At 35.5% G+C, this 20,899-nt stretch overlaps 1 pseudogene across 1 annotated transcript in view; it reads left to right on the forward strand.

Moving 5' to 3' along the window:
• The first annotated feature begins 617 nt into the window (after positions 1-617).
• Positions 618-20,899, forward strand: part of UBBP4 (ubiquitin B pseudogene 4) — a 114,402-nt pseudogene continuing 94,120 nt past the window's right edge. The window contains exon 1 of the transcript NR_176224.1: positions 618-776. The product of NR_176224.1 is annotated as a ubiquitin B pseudogene 4, transcript variant 1 (transcript). The remainder of the gene's footprint in view (positions 777-20,899) is intronic.

Genomic DNA, 20,899 nt, shown 5'->3' on the forward strand with positions numbered 1-20,899 from the left:
TTGCCCCCCGAGGCACACAGGGCAGGCCCAGAAATCTCACCTACCCCATCACATTTCTACCACTGTGGTTGAGCTGCAGTCTCCGACGTCACCACCAACCACAGCGAGGCGAGCCATGGTGGCACAGGTTCCAGCCTCCAGCATGTGGCAGTGCCTCTTCCTTCTAGTCCTCCTGCTGCTGCTGACCGCTCTCCTACTGCTCTATCGCTACCACCAACCTCAGCGAGGTAGTGACCTAGGCTCCAAGCTCCATCCATCCTCCATCCTCCAGCAGGCGGAAGGTTGCGGCCTCTTCCAGTCCTCTAAGCTGGACACAGAGTTGCTCCTCCGCTCGACACAGAAGAGCCTGAAACGACCTGACACCACCTCAGCATGCTTTATATATGAGGTTATGCAAACGCAGTTCCTGGACTACATGTTCTGATTGGATGAGAAAAAAAACCTCTAGGCCTACTCTGATTGGACTTTATTTTCATGCTGTGATTGGTTGTGTTAAGACTTGCTCTCATCCAATCAGAACATGATCATTCCCATTCCTGACACCTCCACCCACAGTGCCCTGTCTCCCACTTCCCCCGCAGTATATAAATGATGCTGAAGCGGCAACACGTTTTTTCAAGTTCCTGTATCTTCATGTCGAGTTGCTAGCTGCCCAACGTAGAGGACTAGGAATCAGGAGTCGGTGGCCGTATGCTGGAGGCTGGAGCCGCGGGAGTGCAGCTCGCCTCGCTGCGGTTGTTGGCAGTGAGGGAGAGAGAGTAGCGCGGCTGGAGCGGGTAGGCGAAGGAAAACAGTTTTGGGATAGATAGAGGGGAGTAAAGAGGGTAGTTAGGGCCAAAGGGAAAAAAGGATAGCTTAGCCGGAGAAGGCATTGCAAAAAGATGGCAGCGAAAAGATGGTGGGGAAAAAAGTTTTTGGGTAGATGGAGGTGTAAAAAACAGGGTGGGGAGCGGGAGGGAAGGAAGGTTTTGCAGAAAGACGGTAGGTAAAAAGTTTAAGGGTAGATGGAGGGGGAAAAGAGGGTGGCAGGTGGGCGGAGGAAAGAGAGGGAGGTGATGGGGGAAAACGGGGCGAGCAGTAGGCAGAGAAGGTTTTGTGAAAAGATAGTGGGGAGAACATACAGTGAGGGGGGAAAGTTTTTGGGTTGAGCAAAAGAGGGTAGCAAGTGGGAGAAGGAAAAAGAGGGTAGCCAGCAGGAGGAAGACAAGGTTTTGTGAAAAGACAGTGGCAGAAAAGAAAGACGGTGAAGAAAGAAAAGACGGGGGTGAAAAGTGTTTTGATAGATGGAGGGGGGAAAGAGGATAATGAGGAGGAAAGAGGGTGGCGACAGGTAGCAGGGATGGGGGTTGGGAAAACAACGGAAAAATAGTTTGGGGTAGAGGGAGGGGAAAAAGGGTGGCAAGCAGGATAGGGGAAAAAAGCACTAGTGGTAAAGGGGGGAGACTTTGAAAAGATGGTGGGGAAAGTTTTGGGGTGTAGATGGAGGGGGAAAGAGGGAGGTGAATAGCCGTGGGGAGAAGGCTTTGTGAAAAGACGGAGGGAAATGTTTTTGGGTAGATGGAGAAGCGAAAGAGAATGGCAAGGAGGAACGGGGAAAGACGATGAAGAAAACAGTTTTTGGTTGGATGAAGCAGGGAAAGAGGGTAGTGAGCAGCAGGAGTGGAGAGAAGGTTTTGGGAAAAGACGGGGGAAAATGTTTTTGCTTAGATAAAGGAGCAAAAGAGGGTGATGAGAGCGGGACGGGGAAAAAGAGGGTGGCCAGGGGTAAGGGGAAAAGAGGGTGGGAAGAAACTGGGGAAAGGGTTTGGGTAGATGGATGGGGAAAAGGGTGTTGAGCAGGAGAGTAGAGGCGGCTTTGTGAAATGAGGGTGGGCAAAAAATGATGAAGAAGTTTGGGGGCAGATGGTGAAAGAAAAAGGGTGGTGAGAGGGAGGGGGCCAAAGGCCGTTTGGAAAAGAAGGTAGGGAAATAATGGTGGGGGACAAAGGTTTGGGGTAGTTTTTTTGATAAGATCATTTGTATGTTTGCTTTTCAGTAGTTTGAGTTCTTTATGTATTTTGTGTATGAACCCCTTGCCTGATGCATGGTTTGCAAATACTTGCTTCCATTATCTGGGTGGTTTCATTTTTATTAAATTTTAATTCAGTTTAATTTTTTTTAGGCAGAGTCTCGGTCTGTCGCCCAGGTTGGAGTGCAGTGGCACGATCTCTGCTCACTGCAAGCTCTGCCTCCTGGGTTCACGCCATTTTCCTGCCTTGGCCTCCCGAGTAGCTGGGACTACAGGCGCCTGCCACCACGCCAGGACACTTTTTTTGTATTTTTAGTAGAGACGGGGTTTCACCATGTTTTCCAGGATGGTCTTGATCTCCTGGCCTCATGATCGGCGCGCCTCAGCCTCCCAAAGTGCTGGGTGTACAGGCGTGAGCCACCGCGCCCGGCCTGTTTTTTCATTCTACTGATTGCTTCCTCTGCTTTGCAGAAGCTTTTTTTTTTTTTTTTTTTTTGAGACGGAGTCTTGCTCTGTCGCCCAGGCTGGAATGCAGTGGCATGGTCTCAGCTCACTGTAAGCTCCGACTCCCGGGTTCACGCCATTCTCCTGCCTCAGCCTCCCGAATAGCTGGGACTGCAGGCGCAGGCTACCAAGCCCGGCTAATTTTTTGTATTTTTAGTGGAGACGGGGTTTCACCGTGTTAGCCAGGATGGTCTCAATCTCGTGAACTCGTGATCCGCCCGCCTCGGCCTCAAAAAGTGCTGGGATTACAGGCGTGAGCCACTGAGACCGGCCTGGAAACCTAACTTTATTTTTTAGTGTAGTATTTGTATATATACTTTAATAGCCCTGAGTTTTAATAAAGTTGCTTTTAAAAATGTATCTTATATTTCAGAAATATACCCTAAGTCATGTGATTAGTTGGGTGGCATGTTGTTTAGTTTTTACAATTGAAGGATTGTCATTCCTTTGTACAAAAAAAAAAAAGTGAATTTTTATCATATACTAGAGGAAAGAAGGCAGATACTAAATAATAAATATTGTATGCTTCCACGTAAATAAAATTTGAAATTATATAAAGACAGAATGCATTGAACTTTTCTGGGGTTGAAGTGGGGAATTCATTGGCAAAGGTCGTGCAATAAATGTGTAGGTGAAGGGAATATTCTATATTTGATTGTGTAGGTGATTAGCTTTATAAATTTGTAAAACTGAACTGGACTAAAATGTGTGCCTTATACGCAGATTATTCTATAAAATTGATTAAAACTAGTTAGAAGAGAATCAGTCAAGGGGAAAAGAAAGAAAAGGCACGTGAAAAAATAATGCCAATGCACTAGAATTGTCTTTGATGACATTAAATATAGCCTGGTCTTCTGTTAATTCTTTTTAAAATTTACGTAGATTTCTCAATCCTTTGATACTTTTTCCTCAGCACATCTTATATTCTCATATATGTTAATGTATGGCTACATAAGAGAGGGCTCTCTTACAGTTGGACTTGGAACAGCTTGATATTTATATCTAGAGATGCATCGGAAGCATAACACTGACCCGTGAGCAAGATGAAAATGGCATGTGCTAGTTAGTGATTCATAATGTGTTGCTTTAAGTTTAGTGCCAACTGGTCTACATCGTTGAGAATGTTTAGTTTGATAGTTTACACAACTTGGCTTAGGAAGTATATAACCAACAATGTATGAGGGAGCCTGCTGTAAAGACTTTTCTGCACTTCCCTTTAATTATTATAGTAAGCTCAAATCTTGAAGGTTCATAATATACAGACAAAATGTGTCCGTGAGACTGAGAAAGGATCTTTAGGGAGAAAGGCTCTGTTCCTGAAAGACAGACTTTCAATGATTTCCTGCATTTTATTTCTGTTGTACTTTACATTTACCTTTATTAAACACTAATAAGGTGGTTCTTATAGGGCCTCATAGGCCTTTTTAGTTTTCCAACCTATTCATACTTGGTGCAAACCTAGTAATTTTTTGCGTGATAGTATTGGGATTTTACTCGGAGGCTAGGCTTCACACTGTAAAAACAGCTTTTTGGAATTGTATCATTTTCAGTCTTTGCATCGTGTTCCACTGTCCCAGCCACACACACACACACACACCAGATATGAAGACTACAAGCATCCTCAAAAGGTGTAACACATCTATAGTAGATGTTTTTACCTCTTGTAAAATCTAAGGAAAATATACTAAAAGTGAAGGCATCAGTAAAACAGTATCATTTTAGGTTGACCTCGAGTATTTCAACATCAGTCTAGCTTCAGAACAATACATTTGCAAGGGGAAATGGGGTACTTTTGTGGTTTTTTACACCTGTTATTTCAACTGAAATTGAAAAAAACTATTTTGAACTAACTATAACCATGAAAAGAAGCTTTTATCAGTATTGAAATAAAATAACAAAATGCATTTGTGGGTCTGACCTCAAGACGCATTTTAAATAGTCAATACTACCTCTAACTCTCATTCCCCTTTCTCTGAGCATCAGCTTTATTCTTATTCCATCTTACTTAATTTGGCACTGACAGATACAGACTCATTCTTACAACATATACCATCAGAAGTGAAACCTTCACACTCTCCAACTCTTGAAAAATCTGAGATGCACTTTGACTATTCTCAGATCATGGATCTATTACTTGGATCAAAAAGTACTGCACAGGGAAGTAGATACTATGATCTCTGACATTACAGTTTCAAGGCTGGAGTGAGAAAGGGATAGCTCCCTAATGAGGGAGTATCATAGAAATGATATTTTCATGGTCATACTTTTGTGAACTAGGCAGACATCCCTTCATGTCAACTACATCTCTACTTTGAACAGATAAATATCCATGCATATACAAAATTATATAGTAATATAAGCATGACTTTTCATTAAAATTGTAACCAAAACAGTCTAGGTGAATAAATACCAATACAGGAGATAGTTTTGCTTGAATGATCTTTACCCTTGGGGAGACATACATAAAAGAATGTCATACTTTGTTATGAAATGACTGTCCACCATATTTATGAGTAAACTTTCATAATTTCTTTATTGTCTAAAGTAAGCACAAAAACCCTTTTAATTAATATCCCTTTTTAATATATAGAATAAATATAAGAAAATAGCACAAATGGTATTATGCCAGCACATAGAAACAGTTTCTGTTAAAAGTCAATCCTGTATTTTGAGAACTTGACAAAATCATAATTGAAAATAGTGTATTGTCTTACATGCAGATGTTGTGTAATCAGGGACATCCAAATCAACTTACATCCAAATATTTCACAATTAGTCTTATTCTGTGAAGTATTATAAAACCACGCTCTCAGGAATATAAAAGCACAAAGGGAGCCAGGACTCCAAATAGCCATTTATTCATTTCCTAAGGTTAGGTACAATGAGGACTGCATTTTCAACATTATCAGGGCCATACAGACATTGGAGCTTAAGGATAAGATCCAATTTCATAGCAGTCTGTTAAAGGATAAGCCAGTGTAATGACCCAAGTGTTCACCATAATAATTACCATCTTGAGTGTTGATGCTATGAATAGAAAGGAACACTGCATCTCTAAAATTAACTATGGTTTATATGACATGAGACCAATTTGATGGAAAGAAGGCGAACTGTGAATGGTAATTTTGTTTTTTTAGTTGTTTTCATTGTGTGTACTCATATCTGAAAATACAATACCATATAATTAGAAAAGTTATAACAAAATAAGACTGGAAGCCTTAACTTTTTATATCAAATGTTCTGCACACAAATATAGCCTTTTACTGATGATCTATGGCTCCAAAATATTGGTAGCTATAATTATGCTTTGTAAAACAGAAGCTATGAATGCCTTACTGCAGAAAGACACAAAGAATCATTTCCTTACTCACTCACTGCTAGTAGACCCTGATGCACAGCATTTCCTGCCCAGATACCTGATTATTAATCCAGTTTTTGTTAGGGGTATACTAACATTAACTAACGGAGATTGGTGTTTAAACCAGTTAATGTAAAGAAATGCTGTAGGAACTGAAATATTCCTTTTAAATTAACAAAAGTGTTCTTTCTAGATAAAGTTACATGAGGACCCAAATGTATACCAGAAAATCATTTGATGAATATGGAATTAATAAAAGAATGTTTTGTTATATGGTTTTAGTACTTTGTTGGTGCCAGGTTAAAGACATGTGGCCCTAGATAGGATAACTCTACAGAAGAGAATTTAATTTGTTTACCTGCTTCACTAGAAATCCAACAATTAAGGCAGTGACTCTATTTTCCAATATTCATTTCCTCCATTTTCTCATCTCTTTTTGATTGATGGTATCATTTCGTTATTTCATTTTCATTGACATGGAATTCATTTTGGCTAAAATGACTTTTTGACTGTGTGTGTGTATATATATATATATATATTTATGATTTTAAAATCAATGAACAATATTGTTTCTCTGTTTCCAAGATTATCCCTCTATATTCTCTAAAGTAGATACTGTGAAACAGTCCAGATAATGAGTCTAGGAATGGCAGTACGAAATGCTGTAAAACTGGAAGCAACTTAGTAGGTAATCAATAGGGAAAATGAAAATATAATTGACTCTAGTTAATGTAATGATGCATTTATTTTACATTTTTCTTGCCTTCCTGAGATAAGTCCTGCCTGGTTATAGTATATTATATGTTTTATGTATTGCTGAATTTTGATCATTAGCATTTTGCTGAGGATTTTTTCCATCTATTTTTGTTAAAGATATTGTTCTGTGTTTTTTTTTTGTTTTTTTTTTTTGATGCTATTGTCTGGTTTTGTTACTAGGGTAATACTAGCTTCACAGAATAAACTGGGAAGTGTATTCTCTTTCTTTTTTTTCAAGAGTTTGTAAATAATTGTATTAATTCAACTTTGAAAGTTTGGTAGAGGCATTCTTGGCTAGAATTTGTTGCTGTTGTCATTGTTTCCTGAGCTGGTGGTTTTGATTACTAACTTTATCTCTTTACTTGATAAGATTTTATATTTCTCCTTGACTCATTTTTGCTAATTTGAACCTTTCCTTAAAATTTGTCCGGTTCTTAAAAAATATCTAAATTTTAGATATAATTGTTCATAGGTACTTTTATAATAATTTTTTATTTAAGTTTAGTGTCCTTTTAAAATTTTCATTAATACTTGAATAGTTTCTCTTTCTTGTTGGTCGGTCTGTCTAAATTGTGGCCACTGTTGATGTGTTCAAAGAAACAATTTTTGGCTTTGTTGAGGTTCTCAATTGTTTTTCTATTTTGTATTTCACTAATTTGTATATCCCTAATACTTTCTTGTGGTTGCTGTAGTTTTAATTTGCTCTTCTTTTTTCAGTGCCTTATGGTGGCAGGTTAGAGAATGTTATTTTTGAGTATGAGAACTACTTTTATTGCATCACATAAGAGATATTATGCATTCTTAAAGTATTTTATCTTTTTTTAAAGTATTTTCTAATTTATCTTATTCTTTTTGGACCCATTGGTTATTTAATAGCATGTTGTTTAATTTCCACATAATTCTGAGTTTCCCAAATTTTCCTATTGCTGATTTATTATTTTACTCAATTATTGTCTGAAAATATACTTTGTATTATTCCAATGTTTAAATTCATTGAGGTCTATTTTATGGCCTGGGATATGGTATTCCTGGATAATGTTGCGTGTGCACTTGAGAATCTACTGTTGTTACAGTGTTCTTTAAATGTCTAATCACTCTAGTTATTTTATAGTATTGTTCAAGTGTTCTATTTCTTTGTTGATCTTTTGCCTAGTCATTTTATCCATTTGTGAAAGTATTAAAGGCTGCAAGAAGTATGTTAAATTGTCTAAAGTTCATTTTTGGAGGTTTCTATGTCAATGGATTTTGAAGTCTTTTCATCACACATATGTATGCTTGTAATTATTTATTTTTGAGATATTGGCCCTTTTATTTTTATGAAATATCTCTCTTTACCTCTGTAACCCCTTTTGTTTTAAAGTGTATTTTTTTCTGATATTAATGTAACAATTCCAGCTTTCTTGTGGTTACTGCCTGCATCGTATAACTTTTCTATCGTTTTTTTTCTATGAATTTTCATCTTTGGATCTGAAGTGTGTCTTCTGCAGACAACATGTAGATGGATCTTGTTTATTTAATTTGTTTTACCTCCAGTCTGACAATCTTTTATTTGAATATTTAAATTCATTTTCACTTGAGGTTACTAGTATAGATTTACATCCATCATTTTACTTCAGTTTTCTGTATACCTTATGTCTTTTCATTCCTCTATTCCTCCTTTACTGCTTTCTTTTGAATTAGGTATTTTTTATAAAACATTTAATTTAAATTTAATAATATTTTATCTATATTTTTTCAATGTTTCCCTTAATTGTTACTTTAGGGTTTACTGTAGACATCTTAACACAATCAATTTTAGGTGCATAACAATTCTAGTGGCATATATGTATATATAAATTTTACTTTTGTTCACTTTTGTGTACTTTGGCTCTCCTTTTTGTGCTATTATGGTTGTACACATTACATCTATATATGCTATGTACCCAATAATTTATTGTTATAACTGTTACTTGATATGGTTTGTTTCGTCCTCTCCAAAGTTCATGTTGAAACTTAATTTCAATGTGACAGCATTAAGAGCTGGAACCTTGAGGATATGATTAGGGTATTAGGGCTCTGTCCTCATGGATGATATGAGTGTGTTACAGAAGGGCTGGAGGGAATTAGGACATTAGGACCCTTTGCCTTTTCATCCTTTTCACTGTATGAATATACAGCATTCACCCCCTCTGGAGGATGGAGTATTCAAGGCACCTCAGCAGACACCAAACCTGCCAGCAAATTGATCTTTAAATTCCAGCCTGCAGAACTATGAGAAATAAATTTCTTTACAAATTTCTCAGTCTCTGGTATATATATATGTATCAGCATGAACAGACTAACACACTTGACATAATTTTATGTCTTAAAAAGATAAAAAGAAACGTACTATGTATTTACGGCTTTTGTTATATTAGCAGTCTTATTTATTATTTCAGGTCTTTTCATTTGTTCAGCATTTGAAACTTCTTCCTGACACCAGAAGGGCTCTTCTTAGCTGTCTTTTTCCTGGGTTATTCCTGGTAAACTAGCTGACCTTTGTTTCAAAGCATATGTCTCTAATAAAGTGCCAGTCTCTCTTATTTGCTTTTTACCATCACTTCATTGTTTTTCGAAGTACCCTTATGGTTGAATTTCCCCAAACTCTTCTTTTGGGAAAAGCTTTACACTCTCTGCTGTATGTTCTGCCCCTTCCTTTGGGCAAAACTTCTGAGCTTTGGCTCTGGTGATTGCAGCAAAGAGAGCAGCATTCTCCTCTCGGAGTGACAGCCCTACTTCGAGACTGGGTCACTGGGATGAGAAGTAGCCTTTGGTAATCTCAGCTTGCCACTCCTGGAATGAGAACTTTGCCTTACAGACAAACCAGAAAGAAGGCAATCAGGGCTCAGTGTTCTCAGTGTGTTGCACCTAAACAGTCCTCATTCCATGAATTAGAGCTGGTAGGAAGAAGTGACATCCTACTTCTTGGCCACATTCAACAAAAGCTTAACCTCAAGAAAAGGTAGTGGCAGCAGGTGGGGGTTGAAATGAAAAATTCTGATGTACTGTTACTCCCAGAAAGATACTATATCCCCCCAATGGGGTCTAGTAAAAATCCTGTGTTTTTGGCTACATTGCCTTGAGTAGAGTTTATATCAAGATAGGCTGTGAGAAAGAGAGGTAAGAATGGGTTGTGGATCAAATGCAAAAAAACTCTCACTGTTCTTAGTGAGTTTCAGTAGATTTTCTTGAATAAATACTTCATCATTTTCTATGTACCATTATGACTTTTCAAGTGACATAGGTGATGGTTGTTTTATAATTTTCAACAATTTTATAAAAGATCCATGGAACTCTTCACATTGCCTTTCTAGAGGTGGAACTTCTGCATTTATTTCTTATGCAAGGAAATTCTTCTGAAATATACTTTGGAATCTCACTCTCTACAGCAAATTGGGTCTCAGTGTATTTCTTTCTCCAAGAGAAGTCTGCTAGATACTCAAATAATTTTTGTTTTATATTGTTATGTTTGAAAGGTTGTTTTGTTGTTAAACAAAAGACAATAGGAAGATCAACATGAAACCCTCACATTCATTGTATGAATATTATCTTTTCATTCAGAAAGAGTTAAAATATATTTGAGTGCTCATAAAGCTTTAAAAAGAAGTGGATTAAGTAATCAATCTCCCTAGGCAGATAAAAAAGCACATGATATTTTGGTATTCCCCAACTTTTATTATTTAACTTTCATGTTCTAGCAAATAACTTTCAACAATTTGTCAACTTATTTGCAGTCATTTATATTTTATATTATTAATTCCATTATTTATGCATGTGTTGAATAGACTTAAATATATAGAGTAGATGTTGACACTCGAATTTGTAACAAAGTGAAAAATTACTTTGATACGTATTTCTTTTTTTCTGACAAAATTCTGAAGTGCTTTTCCATCTCTTCTAAGACAACATATAGAAAACGTATTTTTTTCTCATTATTAAATATATGACTCGGAATACAGCAAAACTAATTGGCTATAAAGCAAACCTTTAAAAGAGAAGAGTTTGATGAAAAATACAAGCATTCTTAGTTATACGTAAGATCCCACAGAGCCAACTTTTTCCAGATTTATGTCCCAATTTTAAACTTTAATTCCTACTGTCTAAGCATTGTGGCTAAAAGTATGAGATAATTAATTACTCCTGACATCCAACTTTTGTGATCACAGTAGGTGACATTCCTTTGAAAAAAATAACTTGAAAATTTTCTGGTAAATGTTACGTTTGTGTGTGGGTGCAGAGTTTCATTTTCATACCAAGCTCACATATCAAAGTTGAGTGTTTTAATTATCTTTTAAGACTATGTCCTTGGATGCTATGCTATATGCCAATATTTATATATGTTGAATATACTTAACTTTCATTTAACTTACATAGACATAGTGCTTAACTTTAATCAGAGATTCCTAATTCTGATGAATGTTGGTAGAAAATATGCTGCAAATAAAATATGTTAGAATAATTTTTAATAAAAGGATAAAAGGAAAGAAGCTAGCAGAAGAGCCAGCACCACAGAAAGCAAAGTCACATTCTGGATCCAAGCAATGTTTCCATGAGCAAAGAACCAGCAAATTGAATTCACGAGACAGGGAGCAGAAGCAAGAGAGTGAAGAGGAAGTAGACTTCTTTTTGTTTTTGTGTCTTATTTGCTTTCTCATGAGAAGAGTGTACTAGTAGTAGAAGTAAGTTCTATGAATGAGACCAGAAAGACGTAGGTAGAATATCTGGACCCTCTGTATAGGATAGGTAGTTATTATATTGTGTGTTCTGGAGGTAAGATTTATATAATTTATATAATTTTATGAAATTTATGAATTTATATAAATTATATGAATTTACATAAATTATATGAATTTTTATAAATTATATAAATTATATGAATTTATATAAATTCAAGCCCACAATAGTATCAAGGCCTATTAAGCAAACATCCATTAGACAGCAAGAAAGACTAAGGCTTTCAAACAAGCGTCAATAGTTAAATGTGAAGCAAACATACAGACATTTGATACTGTGACAAAAATAATGAGGTTTATCATAATATATTTTCTTGTTTAGTAATTATATATAGCTACATACTAGTTTTTCAAAACTTAACTAATTCTCTTTAAATATATTTCTATGAAATTTCTTGCTATACTTGGGATACAGTTGAGTGTAAACTCATTTTGTAGGATTTTTTTTTTTAAATCATGAAACAACATAGTGATAAATTTAAATAGTTTTGCCAGTTGAATCATGTATGTGATAAAAAGGCTTTATATTTCTGATTCCTAAATCAGGGCATGGCAGTACAAATCATAAATCAAGTATTCTTATGTCTGTTGTATAATTATAGAAGAATAATGCCCAAACCTTTTTTGAATGAGGGTATGTCATGAGCATCAAAAGGGGAAAAAAAGTATGAAAATCCGTGAGAGTTTTACTCTGGAGAGTCATATAGATTGTGTGTTCTTTAGCTAACATTTTAAAACAAATATCTGAAATCACTTGCTTAACCCCTTTGAATAATATATATTATTGCCCTTAAGAGAAATTTGGTAATCTACTAAAGGTCCGTTTCATATAGCCCTGACGTCTCTCTCCAGTCACGTGCCCTTACTGGTGTCTATGACCCAAACACACTAGTCGTCTCTCAATTTCACTAAGATGTTTTGCATTCTTCTCACAGCTTTTATGTCTGTTGCTGCTTCTTCAAGGCATACTTATCTGATATTTACTAGCTACTGTCTATTATCTTGAATCAGCTTAATGGTTTATTTTCGAGGAGACAAGGGCAAATTTTGCTGCTCTATATTCCCATAGTATTGTGGTCTTCTCTTTATTAAAAACTCATCGGGCTAAAAATTGTTTGTGATTCCCATTTATTTACTTGCTAGATTCTGAATTCCATGAGGACTGGAAATGCAACACTTTTATTTACCTGTGTATCTCAAACTTTGTATTCTTCCTGTGAGACAGTCATGTATTTATAAAAATGAATGAAATTTTTGTGTCTATAGACTGCATTACCAATACCTCTTGCACTATGAAATTTTCTTTAATTTCAAAAAATCCAAACATTATTTTTTTCTCGTTTATATAGTTTGAAATTCTTTTCTGGCAATAATGTTTCACCTATAAAAAGACCTATTAAAATTTATTTAATACTAAGGGGAGGGATAAAATAACTATGCATTTTTGGTCGAAAGCACAGTTGTGTCTGATACTTTAATTATGCTGTCTAATTTAACTTTTCATAAATACCCAGAATATCATTCATGATTTAAATACCAACTGCCAAAATGTACAGCTATCAAGTGGAAGACTCAGCTTTGTGCTATGCCGCATTTTCTCTTCTTTCCTTTTTGTGATGATCTTCCAAATTGTGGAGAAAGAAAACATTTCTATTTGTGATTGTTTCTGCTAGTTATTTCTGCAAAACAAACTACTCAAATTCAGTGGCATGATGCAATAACCATTTTGTCATCATATATTCTGGGGTCAGGGGGTTGAAAATGCAAAGTGGGGTGACATTTCTGTGGTCTACAGTATTTGGGGCCTCTGAGAAGTCCTAGATGTCTAGGAATGAATTAAACGTTGGACAATGAAATCTTCTGAAAGCCTCTTCATTTACATGTTTGGCTCCTGCATTGTTATGACTTAAAGGCTGGGCTCAAAATAATCTCTTAACCAGAGTGTCTGAATATTGCTTCTTCATGTAACTTGGGCTTCCTCACAGCATGGAATCATACAGGTAGTTTGCCTGAGTGTTTCAGTTAATGGGTCAATGTATTGCCTTTAATAATCTTGCCTCAGAAGTCACATAGAATTACTTTAATGCTCAGTTGGTTTAAGCAATCACAGCCTGTCTCACGGGGAAGAAACATGATGTCTACCCTTTGATGTGAGGACATTCAAAGTATTCGTAGCTATATTTTAAAAATGCCACAGTTATCTTCTTTTTAAAGAGATACCATATCTTTATTATCAGCTATAGAATCAGGATTTGAAAATAGTTCTTATGCTACATATGCATTTTTGTTATCATTCTTGTTGTTATAATCTTTTACAGGAAGGGTGAAGGGGTAAGGGTTATGTTTCATTCTTTCTCAAATTTTGTGCTCTATAAGTATTTTTATTTTTTGTCCATAATAGATTGTGGTACAAAGGTGACTCAAAACTAGAGTGTAGAAACATAAAAAAATATAAGTTTTCATATCCAAGCTGTTGATAAGATATTCAAATATAAAAAAGGTTTTGAATTTGTTTTAAAAATTAAGTCTTCTAATTTTTCAAAAAGAACTAAGATAATTGTCCACTAATTGCCCATTAAATTTCCTCCTTAGTTCTACTTCCACAAAAGATATTACCATCTATGATTAATTTGGATTTCAGAGGAAGAAAATATAGTCTGAGGAAAATGGATTGTGGAGCAATCTCAATGCTAACTACTATAAAATAGCTTATTACTTGAAAAATGAGGATATTGTATGAATTTTCACTAGTCAATTGGTAGCAAAAACAAAATTTAAGTGATTGTAAATATGTCATATTTTAAACTATCTTGTAAAGATGTTATGTACAGAGATATTATATGTTACTAGCATCTGGATTCAGAAAAATATGTAACTGGAACCAGGTTTAAGTTGGGTAATTGTAGTGTGTCTAATAATTTTAATACAAGGTAAAAACATTTTCTGTTGAAAATCAGTTTTAATATTAAGTTAGGTTTTATTTATATTTTGAAAATTTAAGGACTCTTGAATATTCTTAAGTAAATTGCAATTTAATGCAATTGTAGTTATACTCAGCAGTATAGTGACACTTGATTAAAGCCATTATAAAGGAAACATAATCCCATACTGATGATCTTCACATTTCTTTGGGTTAAAGACCAGTTTATTTCATTGAGATTACAGTTCAGGAGAAAGGTTATTGACTACATGTATCTATAGTATTGTCTAAGCAACAGGAGTTTAGTTTGCATGTTTAGTATTTTTGAGAGCACATCAATGTAATGAAATGTATTTAAAATTATGCCCATATATACATAATTATATATATTTATTTATATATTTTTTACAACAGTGTTTTTCCTTGGAGATGATTCAATCAAATTGCAGCAGAGACACTTCTAATTAGTTATTAGGAAGTACAATCTAGGATTGTTTTCCTGAACGTTTGTGACTAGCAATGTTCTCTTACAGACGTGGGGGTCTGGACACTTGGACCTTAAATTGGAAATGGTTAAAACAGTGTTAGCCAAAGAATGACAATGGTTTGTTTGCCAAGTCTTTTTGTTTTGTTTTGTTTTGTTCTTTTGAGACGGAATCTTGCTCTGTCACCCAGACTTGAGTGCAGTGGCGTGATCTCGGCTAACCGTAACCTCTGCCTCCCGGGTTCAAGCAATTATGCCACCTCAGCTCCCTGAGTAGCTGGGATTACAGGCAACCGCCATCATGCCCAGCTAATTTTGTATTTTTAGTAGAGATGGTGTTTCACTATGTTGGTCAGGCTAATCTTGAACTCCTGACCTCAATGAATCCATCTGCCTCAGCCTCCCAAAGTGCTGGGATTACAGGCGTGTGCCACTGCACCCAGCTGCCAAGTCTTTTTGTGTTAGTATTGCTGTTGAATATATCTGGTGTTTTCATTCAAGAAAACACTTAAAAGCCATTTTAGGGGCTGGGCGCGGTGGCTCACGCCTGTAATCCCAGCAGTTTGGGAGGCCAAGGCGGGCGGATCACCAGGTCAGGATATCAAGACCATCCTGGCTAACACGGTGAAACTCCGTCCCTACTAAAAATACAAAAAATTAGCCTGGCATAGTGGCGGGCGCCTGTTGTCCCAGCTACTCGGGAGGCTGAGTCAGGAGAATGGCATGAACCCGGGAGGCAGAGCTTGCAGTCCAGCCTGGGCGACAGAGCCAGACTCCGTCTCAAAAAAATAAAAACAAAAGCCATTTTAGGGTAAAAGAACCTTTCTCAGAACTATCACTGTACACATCTTCCTGTTTCACTGATCCCTCTTCTCTCCTTTAGTTTTAACCTTTTGTGATAGCTCTTTATGCATCTTCTTCTGAGGTCATTGAAGATGTGTTCTGTCTTACTGGTTTCTGTTACCACTAAGTACTTCTTATTTCTAAACAGGTGGTTTGATTTTATGACCACTCAGACAACTCTAAGTAAGATGCAAGCATGTGCTACTTCTCCCTACTCTACACTCATAAACTTCAAACAATTCCCTCTTCTGTCTGCATCTTCCGATAAGGATATAGACTTAGAACTTTTAAAATCGATGGCTAACCACTCTTTACTGCAAGAGTGGTATACTATATTGGACCATGATTATGGGCAAGATCACCTAAACAGAATGGATAACTTTACACTCTGTGTAAGTACTCACTAGGCACTCTCCTAGTAGTGTCTCTACTTGATAGAGCAAAGTAATAGAAGAAAAATGAGCAACTTCATTCTCATGATTTCTAATATGTCATCATAAATATGAGGTCCTTCATTTCTGTTAAGTAGAAAACCAATGATGATACTGCTTACAGAAAACCATCTGTCCATCTTCATCTGTATCAACAAACTTCCAGGCAATTTGCATTGGCACAAGCTGTTATTTGTCTTTGCTAATGTTTAACAATAAAATTCTCAATGACATACTTGATACTCTGGAAAGATAGTATTTTTATTCTTCACAGGGTAGAACATGCATTACAAATTATGTAATTAGTAAAATACGTGCAATGAAATGGTTTCAATTTCCTGTATGAATAGTTTTTATGATGGTTATCTAATAATCTAAAATATTTATATTTCAATTAGTGTTTTACTTAATACTTTATTACTTCCTTTTAATCAATCAAAAAGGAGGTATTACCTGTCCAAAGGAAGCTTAGCTATGTATTATGCATTGGAGACTACATTAAGGAATTCACTAGGCAATGAGTTCTAGGTGTTAAAAGGGGCATTAATTTAAAAAAATATTAAAGATGCGAAATTTTTAAAGCCTCAAAGACGTGAATAAAAGGTTTAAAGAAGAAAATACTGTGTTGATCGAACAATATTTATTTTTTCCCAAATGACTAAGCTTTCAAATCAGGGACTAATCATGAAAGACCACATGACTTATTTTTAAATTAAAAACGATACTGAAATATATTTTTCTGGTTGAAGAGAGCTTTATTCTAAAAAGAAAAAATGTCTATGAAGCAAAAAAAAAAAGAAAACATATGCTCTTTTCTTATGTTTGCTCAAGCAGAATTTACCTCTGCAACTCGTATAATCAGTGCTATAATTATGTACAGATATATTTTGATACTTCAAAGCATCTATAAAATTCCCTAAATGAAAATTATTTTAGATTAAATATATTAATGACCAAGACAGCTTTTTTTGTTTATAAGCAAATTAGATTATATTGCTTATGAAAGTTTTTTATATTTTTATTCCATGGATCATGCAAAAAATCATGTTAGACAATGAAAGGATATCGTGTTTTCTCCTTTTTGCCTTATTACCATTTTTTTTCTGTGCTTAGTTCTGCCTTTGCTGTATAGTGTGGAAATATAAAAAATTACAAGAATTGCTCAGGTGTCTTTTTCAAACCTCCAGGTTGCCAATATATTCACTTCATCACTCTTATCTGATTCCCACACATTCCTCTATGATCCTACAGAGCAGTTACGTTTCTTATAAAATCTAACAGACCACCCAACTATGGTTTGCAACATCAAACCGTCATGCTTCTTGTACACAATATATTAGAAAATTGGGTTTTTACATATCAGAGTAGAAATATATTTCACACATATTTGAGGCATACTGTTATATTCCTAAGGAAATAATATTTTATTTAATTGAAGCCACATGATTTTTACTATGATGTAATTACTCACTGACCACCAAGTCTACAGACAGCCTTTACCAGAATCAAGATACACATAGGTAAATTATTTTGAATATCTTTTGAAATCTGGGGTGCTCAATTTGATCCATGCAGATTACCTTAATTAGCATACATCTATTGGTCATTGGCATACTTTTTAAAATGAGATATAAAATTATACAAATATCTGTAAGTTCTCTACAGCATCTTTTCCTAGCAGCATTTTACAGCGGATAAAGGAGGTTGCCAGTAGATAGACAAAACAAAAAATAGAAACACTTCTTAAGCATACTTTTTTTTACATGTCATAACATGAATCTACTATCTTTTTTTATTTTTACTTTTGTATTCTGAAAAAATGTTAAAATTGGTTATTACCACTGTCTCTCTGTTCTTTCCTAATAATGTCCTTTTCCTCTATTGTCAGCATTTTAAAAAACATTCTTGATCTCTAACACCTTTCTAGAAAATTCTGACAAATTAAGTGGCAGCTAGAACAAGAGGAGATTTAAAGAATTATTGTTGACAATGAAAATAATGAAGTACATATTTAGCATGGGCATGTTGCATGTTGACAATATATCATTGCATAAATGTTTGAAATATTTTTCCTTTATGAAGTAATTGTCATCAAGATCGAAGCTATTGAATATATTTGCTGTATAACTTTGTATAAAATAGATTTATATTGCTTTGAGCTGAACAGATATTTGCAATGAAATTGTCCTTGTCCATGTTATTTTAATTTTGTCTACTGTCATTGGCAGAAATGTATCTAATACCTTATCTCTTTCCCCAAATCACATACAACTGAAAGATGCTAGATGTTAAGAGTTCTGGTAAAGTAGTCTTCTAAAATCCTTTTTCATTTGTCTAGAGAAAAAAAAGTACCAGAATTCAGGACAGATTTTTCTTCAAGGTATCAAGAGTAGACCATATAGATTTTTTCAAGTAAATTTCTAAAGCTATATTTTAGAAATCAAAAAAGAAATATTTGCATTAAAACCATTATTCCCTTAAATTTTTAGAGGATTCTGTTTGACTTTGGCATGAGTAAAGTCCATTCTCTTATTTGCAGTGCTATTAGATATGAGGAGTTTTAGCAGAGATCCTGGAACAACTGCTGCCTATCAGGGTGTGAAATCAATGACATGGATTCCTGTAGAAACTATTTACTTTGCTATATCTCCTCAATATATGTATATACAAACAAGATCTTTGACGCTGGCTTGAAATCCACAGCAAGAGGTACACCAGGAAGCATCAAAAACTATTAAGTATATACAAAAATAGTTGAATGCATACCTCAGTTAGCAATGTTAACAGAGTTTGTGTCCCACAACCATTAGATTTTGCTACTCACAATTATCAGACCAAATTAATATGAACTCAACATCTCCACTCAAGGACAGTATCATTGCAAATATCTGCTCATTTCAAAGCAATATAAATATGTTTTATACAAAATGGCACATAGTAAATGTATTTGATAGCTTAAATCTTGATGCCAATTACTTCATAAAGGAGCAAATATTGTCAAATATTTATGTAATGATGTATTATCAACATGCAGCTTGTGTTCCTTTAACATAGTAAATGCTTTCTTCTGAGAGAAAAGGGGCCTTGATTCTTCTATTTACTCATTCTTGCTAGAAAATTTTGCAAATATAGGAAGAAGAATGAATCTAGTAATTTTCTTTTCTTTTTTTTTTTTTTTTTGACGGAGTTTTGCTCTTCTTGCCCAGCCTGGAGTGCAATGGCACGATATTGGCTCACTGCAACCTCTGCCTCCTGGGTTCAAGCGATTTTCCTGCCTCAGCCTCCCGAGTAGCTGGGATTATAGGTATGCGCCACCACTCCCGACTCATTTTGTATTTCTAGTGGAGACGGGGTTTCTCCATGTTGGTCAGGCTAGTCTCAAGCTCCGGACCCCAGGTGATCCGCCAGCCTCGGCCTCCCAAAGTGCTGGGATTACAGGCGGGAGCCACTGCGCCCGGCCGAACCTAATAATTTTTTAGAACCTCTTTCGTGCAAGCCAGACATTGTCCTAAGCATTTTAGAGACACTATTTCATGTATGTGTTTGAAAAAGTTATCCCTATGAAAGCTAATGTTTCTGAACTGTGAAAGATAGCTTATTTGCTCCTTTAAATTCATGTGCCACTTTTTCCCATTACCTTTTTTAACATACATTATGTCTTCTGGGTCCTCTGACTTCTAAATGGCCTCAGCTCATGGTGAACCCTTAACAGGAGCTGCGAAGGATGAAGAGTTAGACCAGCATACTAATTCATCTTGCTTCTTCCCTGTAAGTAGCTACATCTTTAACGACTGATTCAAACAAAGCATAGACTGTACAGGATGTTTTACTTCTGATTTTGAGTAATGCACCTTCTCCTTCAGATGTGCTTGTGGTAAGGAAATGGCTGCTAGGAAGTGACAGGTTACTTTGCTATCCTTTGTGGTATCTCTACCCAAACCCTAATCCATCCACTTGTAATTAACCCTTCAGGAATTATACTGGTCTCCGTGTTCTATGTGTACTGCTTATGAACTGACATCTGTGTAAACTATTGAGAATTCGAGAAGCTTAACTCAAACATTGAACATCTTACGGAAATAGAGGGTGTGTCTCCACATTTCTATGAATATTAAGAGTGTTGATTTTTACTCTGTTGATTTTTAGCTTCTGTAAAGGTAATTTTTATTTTTTTATACTTATTTTTATGTATCATATGACTATTAATTGCTCCCAGGTAATGTGGACTAAAAGGGCTTTCTTAGTTGACACACACTCATGCACACACACACACAGATATGTATGCACACACGTGAGACATTTGCAATTGTAAAACCTACTATGGAGTGAAAAGGAAAGGGCATAGGCAAAATGCCATGGCTTACCTACAACTACAATTTGGATATTAGATATTTATTTTTTGTTCTTTCTTCATAGAACTGCTTTGACTGCTCAGGCTTTTAGGGGCTCCAAATGAATTTTAGAATAGTTTTTTTTCTAGTTCTGTGAAAAATGGTATTCATAGTTTCGTAGGGATAGCATTGAATCTATAGATTGCTTTGGACAGTATGGTCATTTTAACAGTATTGATTCTTCCAATTCATGAGCATGGAATAATTTTGCATTTGTGTCATCTATGAGTTCTTTTACCAGTGTTTGATAGTTTTCTTCTTAGAGATCTTTTGCCTCCTTGGTTAGATGTATTTCTAGGTATTTTAATTTTTGTAAATATTTTAAATGAGATTATGTTCTTGTTTTCAATCTTAGCTTGAACGTTATTGGGGTACACAAATGTGACTGATTTTTGTACATTGGTTTTGCATCCTGAAGCTTTCCTGAAATAATTTATCAGTTCAGGAGCCTTT

Source organism: Homo sapiens, chromosome 17, assembly GCF_000001405.40.
Source record: "Homo sapiens chromosome 17, GRCh38.p14 Primary Assembly".
Taxonomy (NCBI): domain Eukaryota; kingdom Metazoa; phylum Chordata; class Mammalia; order Primates; family Hominidae; genus Homo; species Homo sapiens.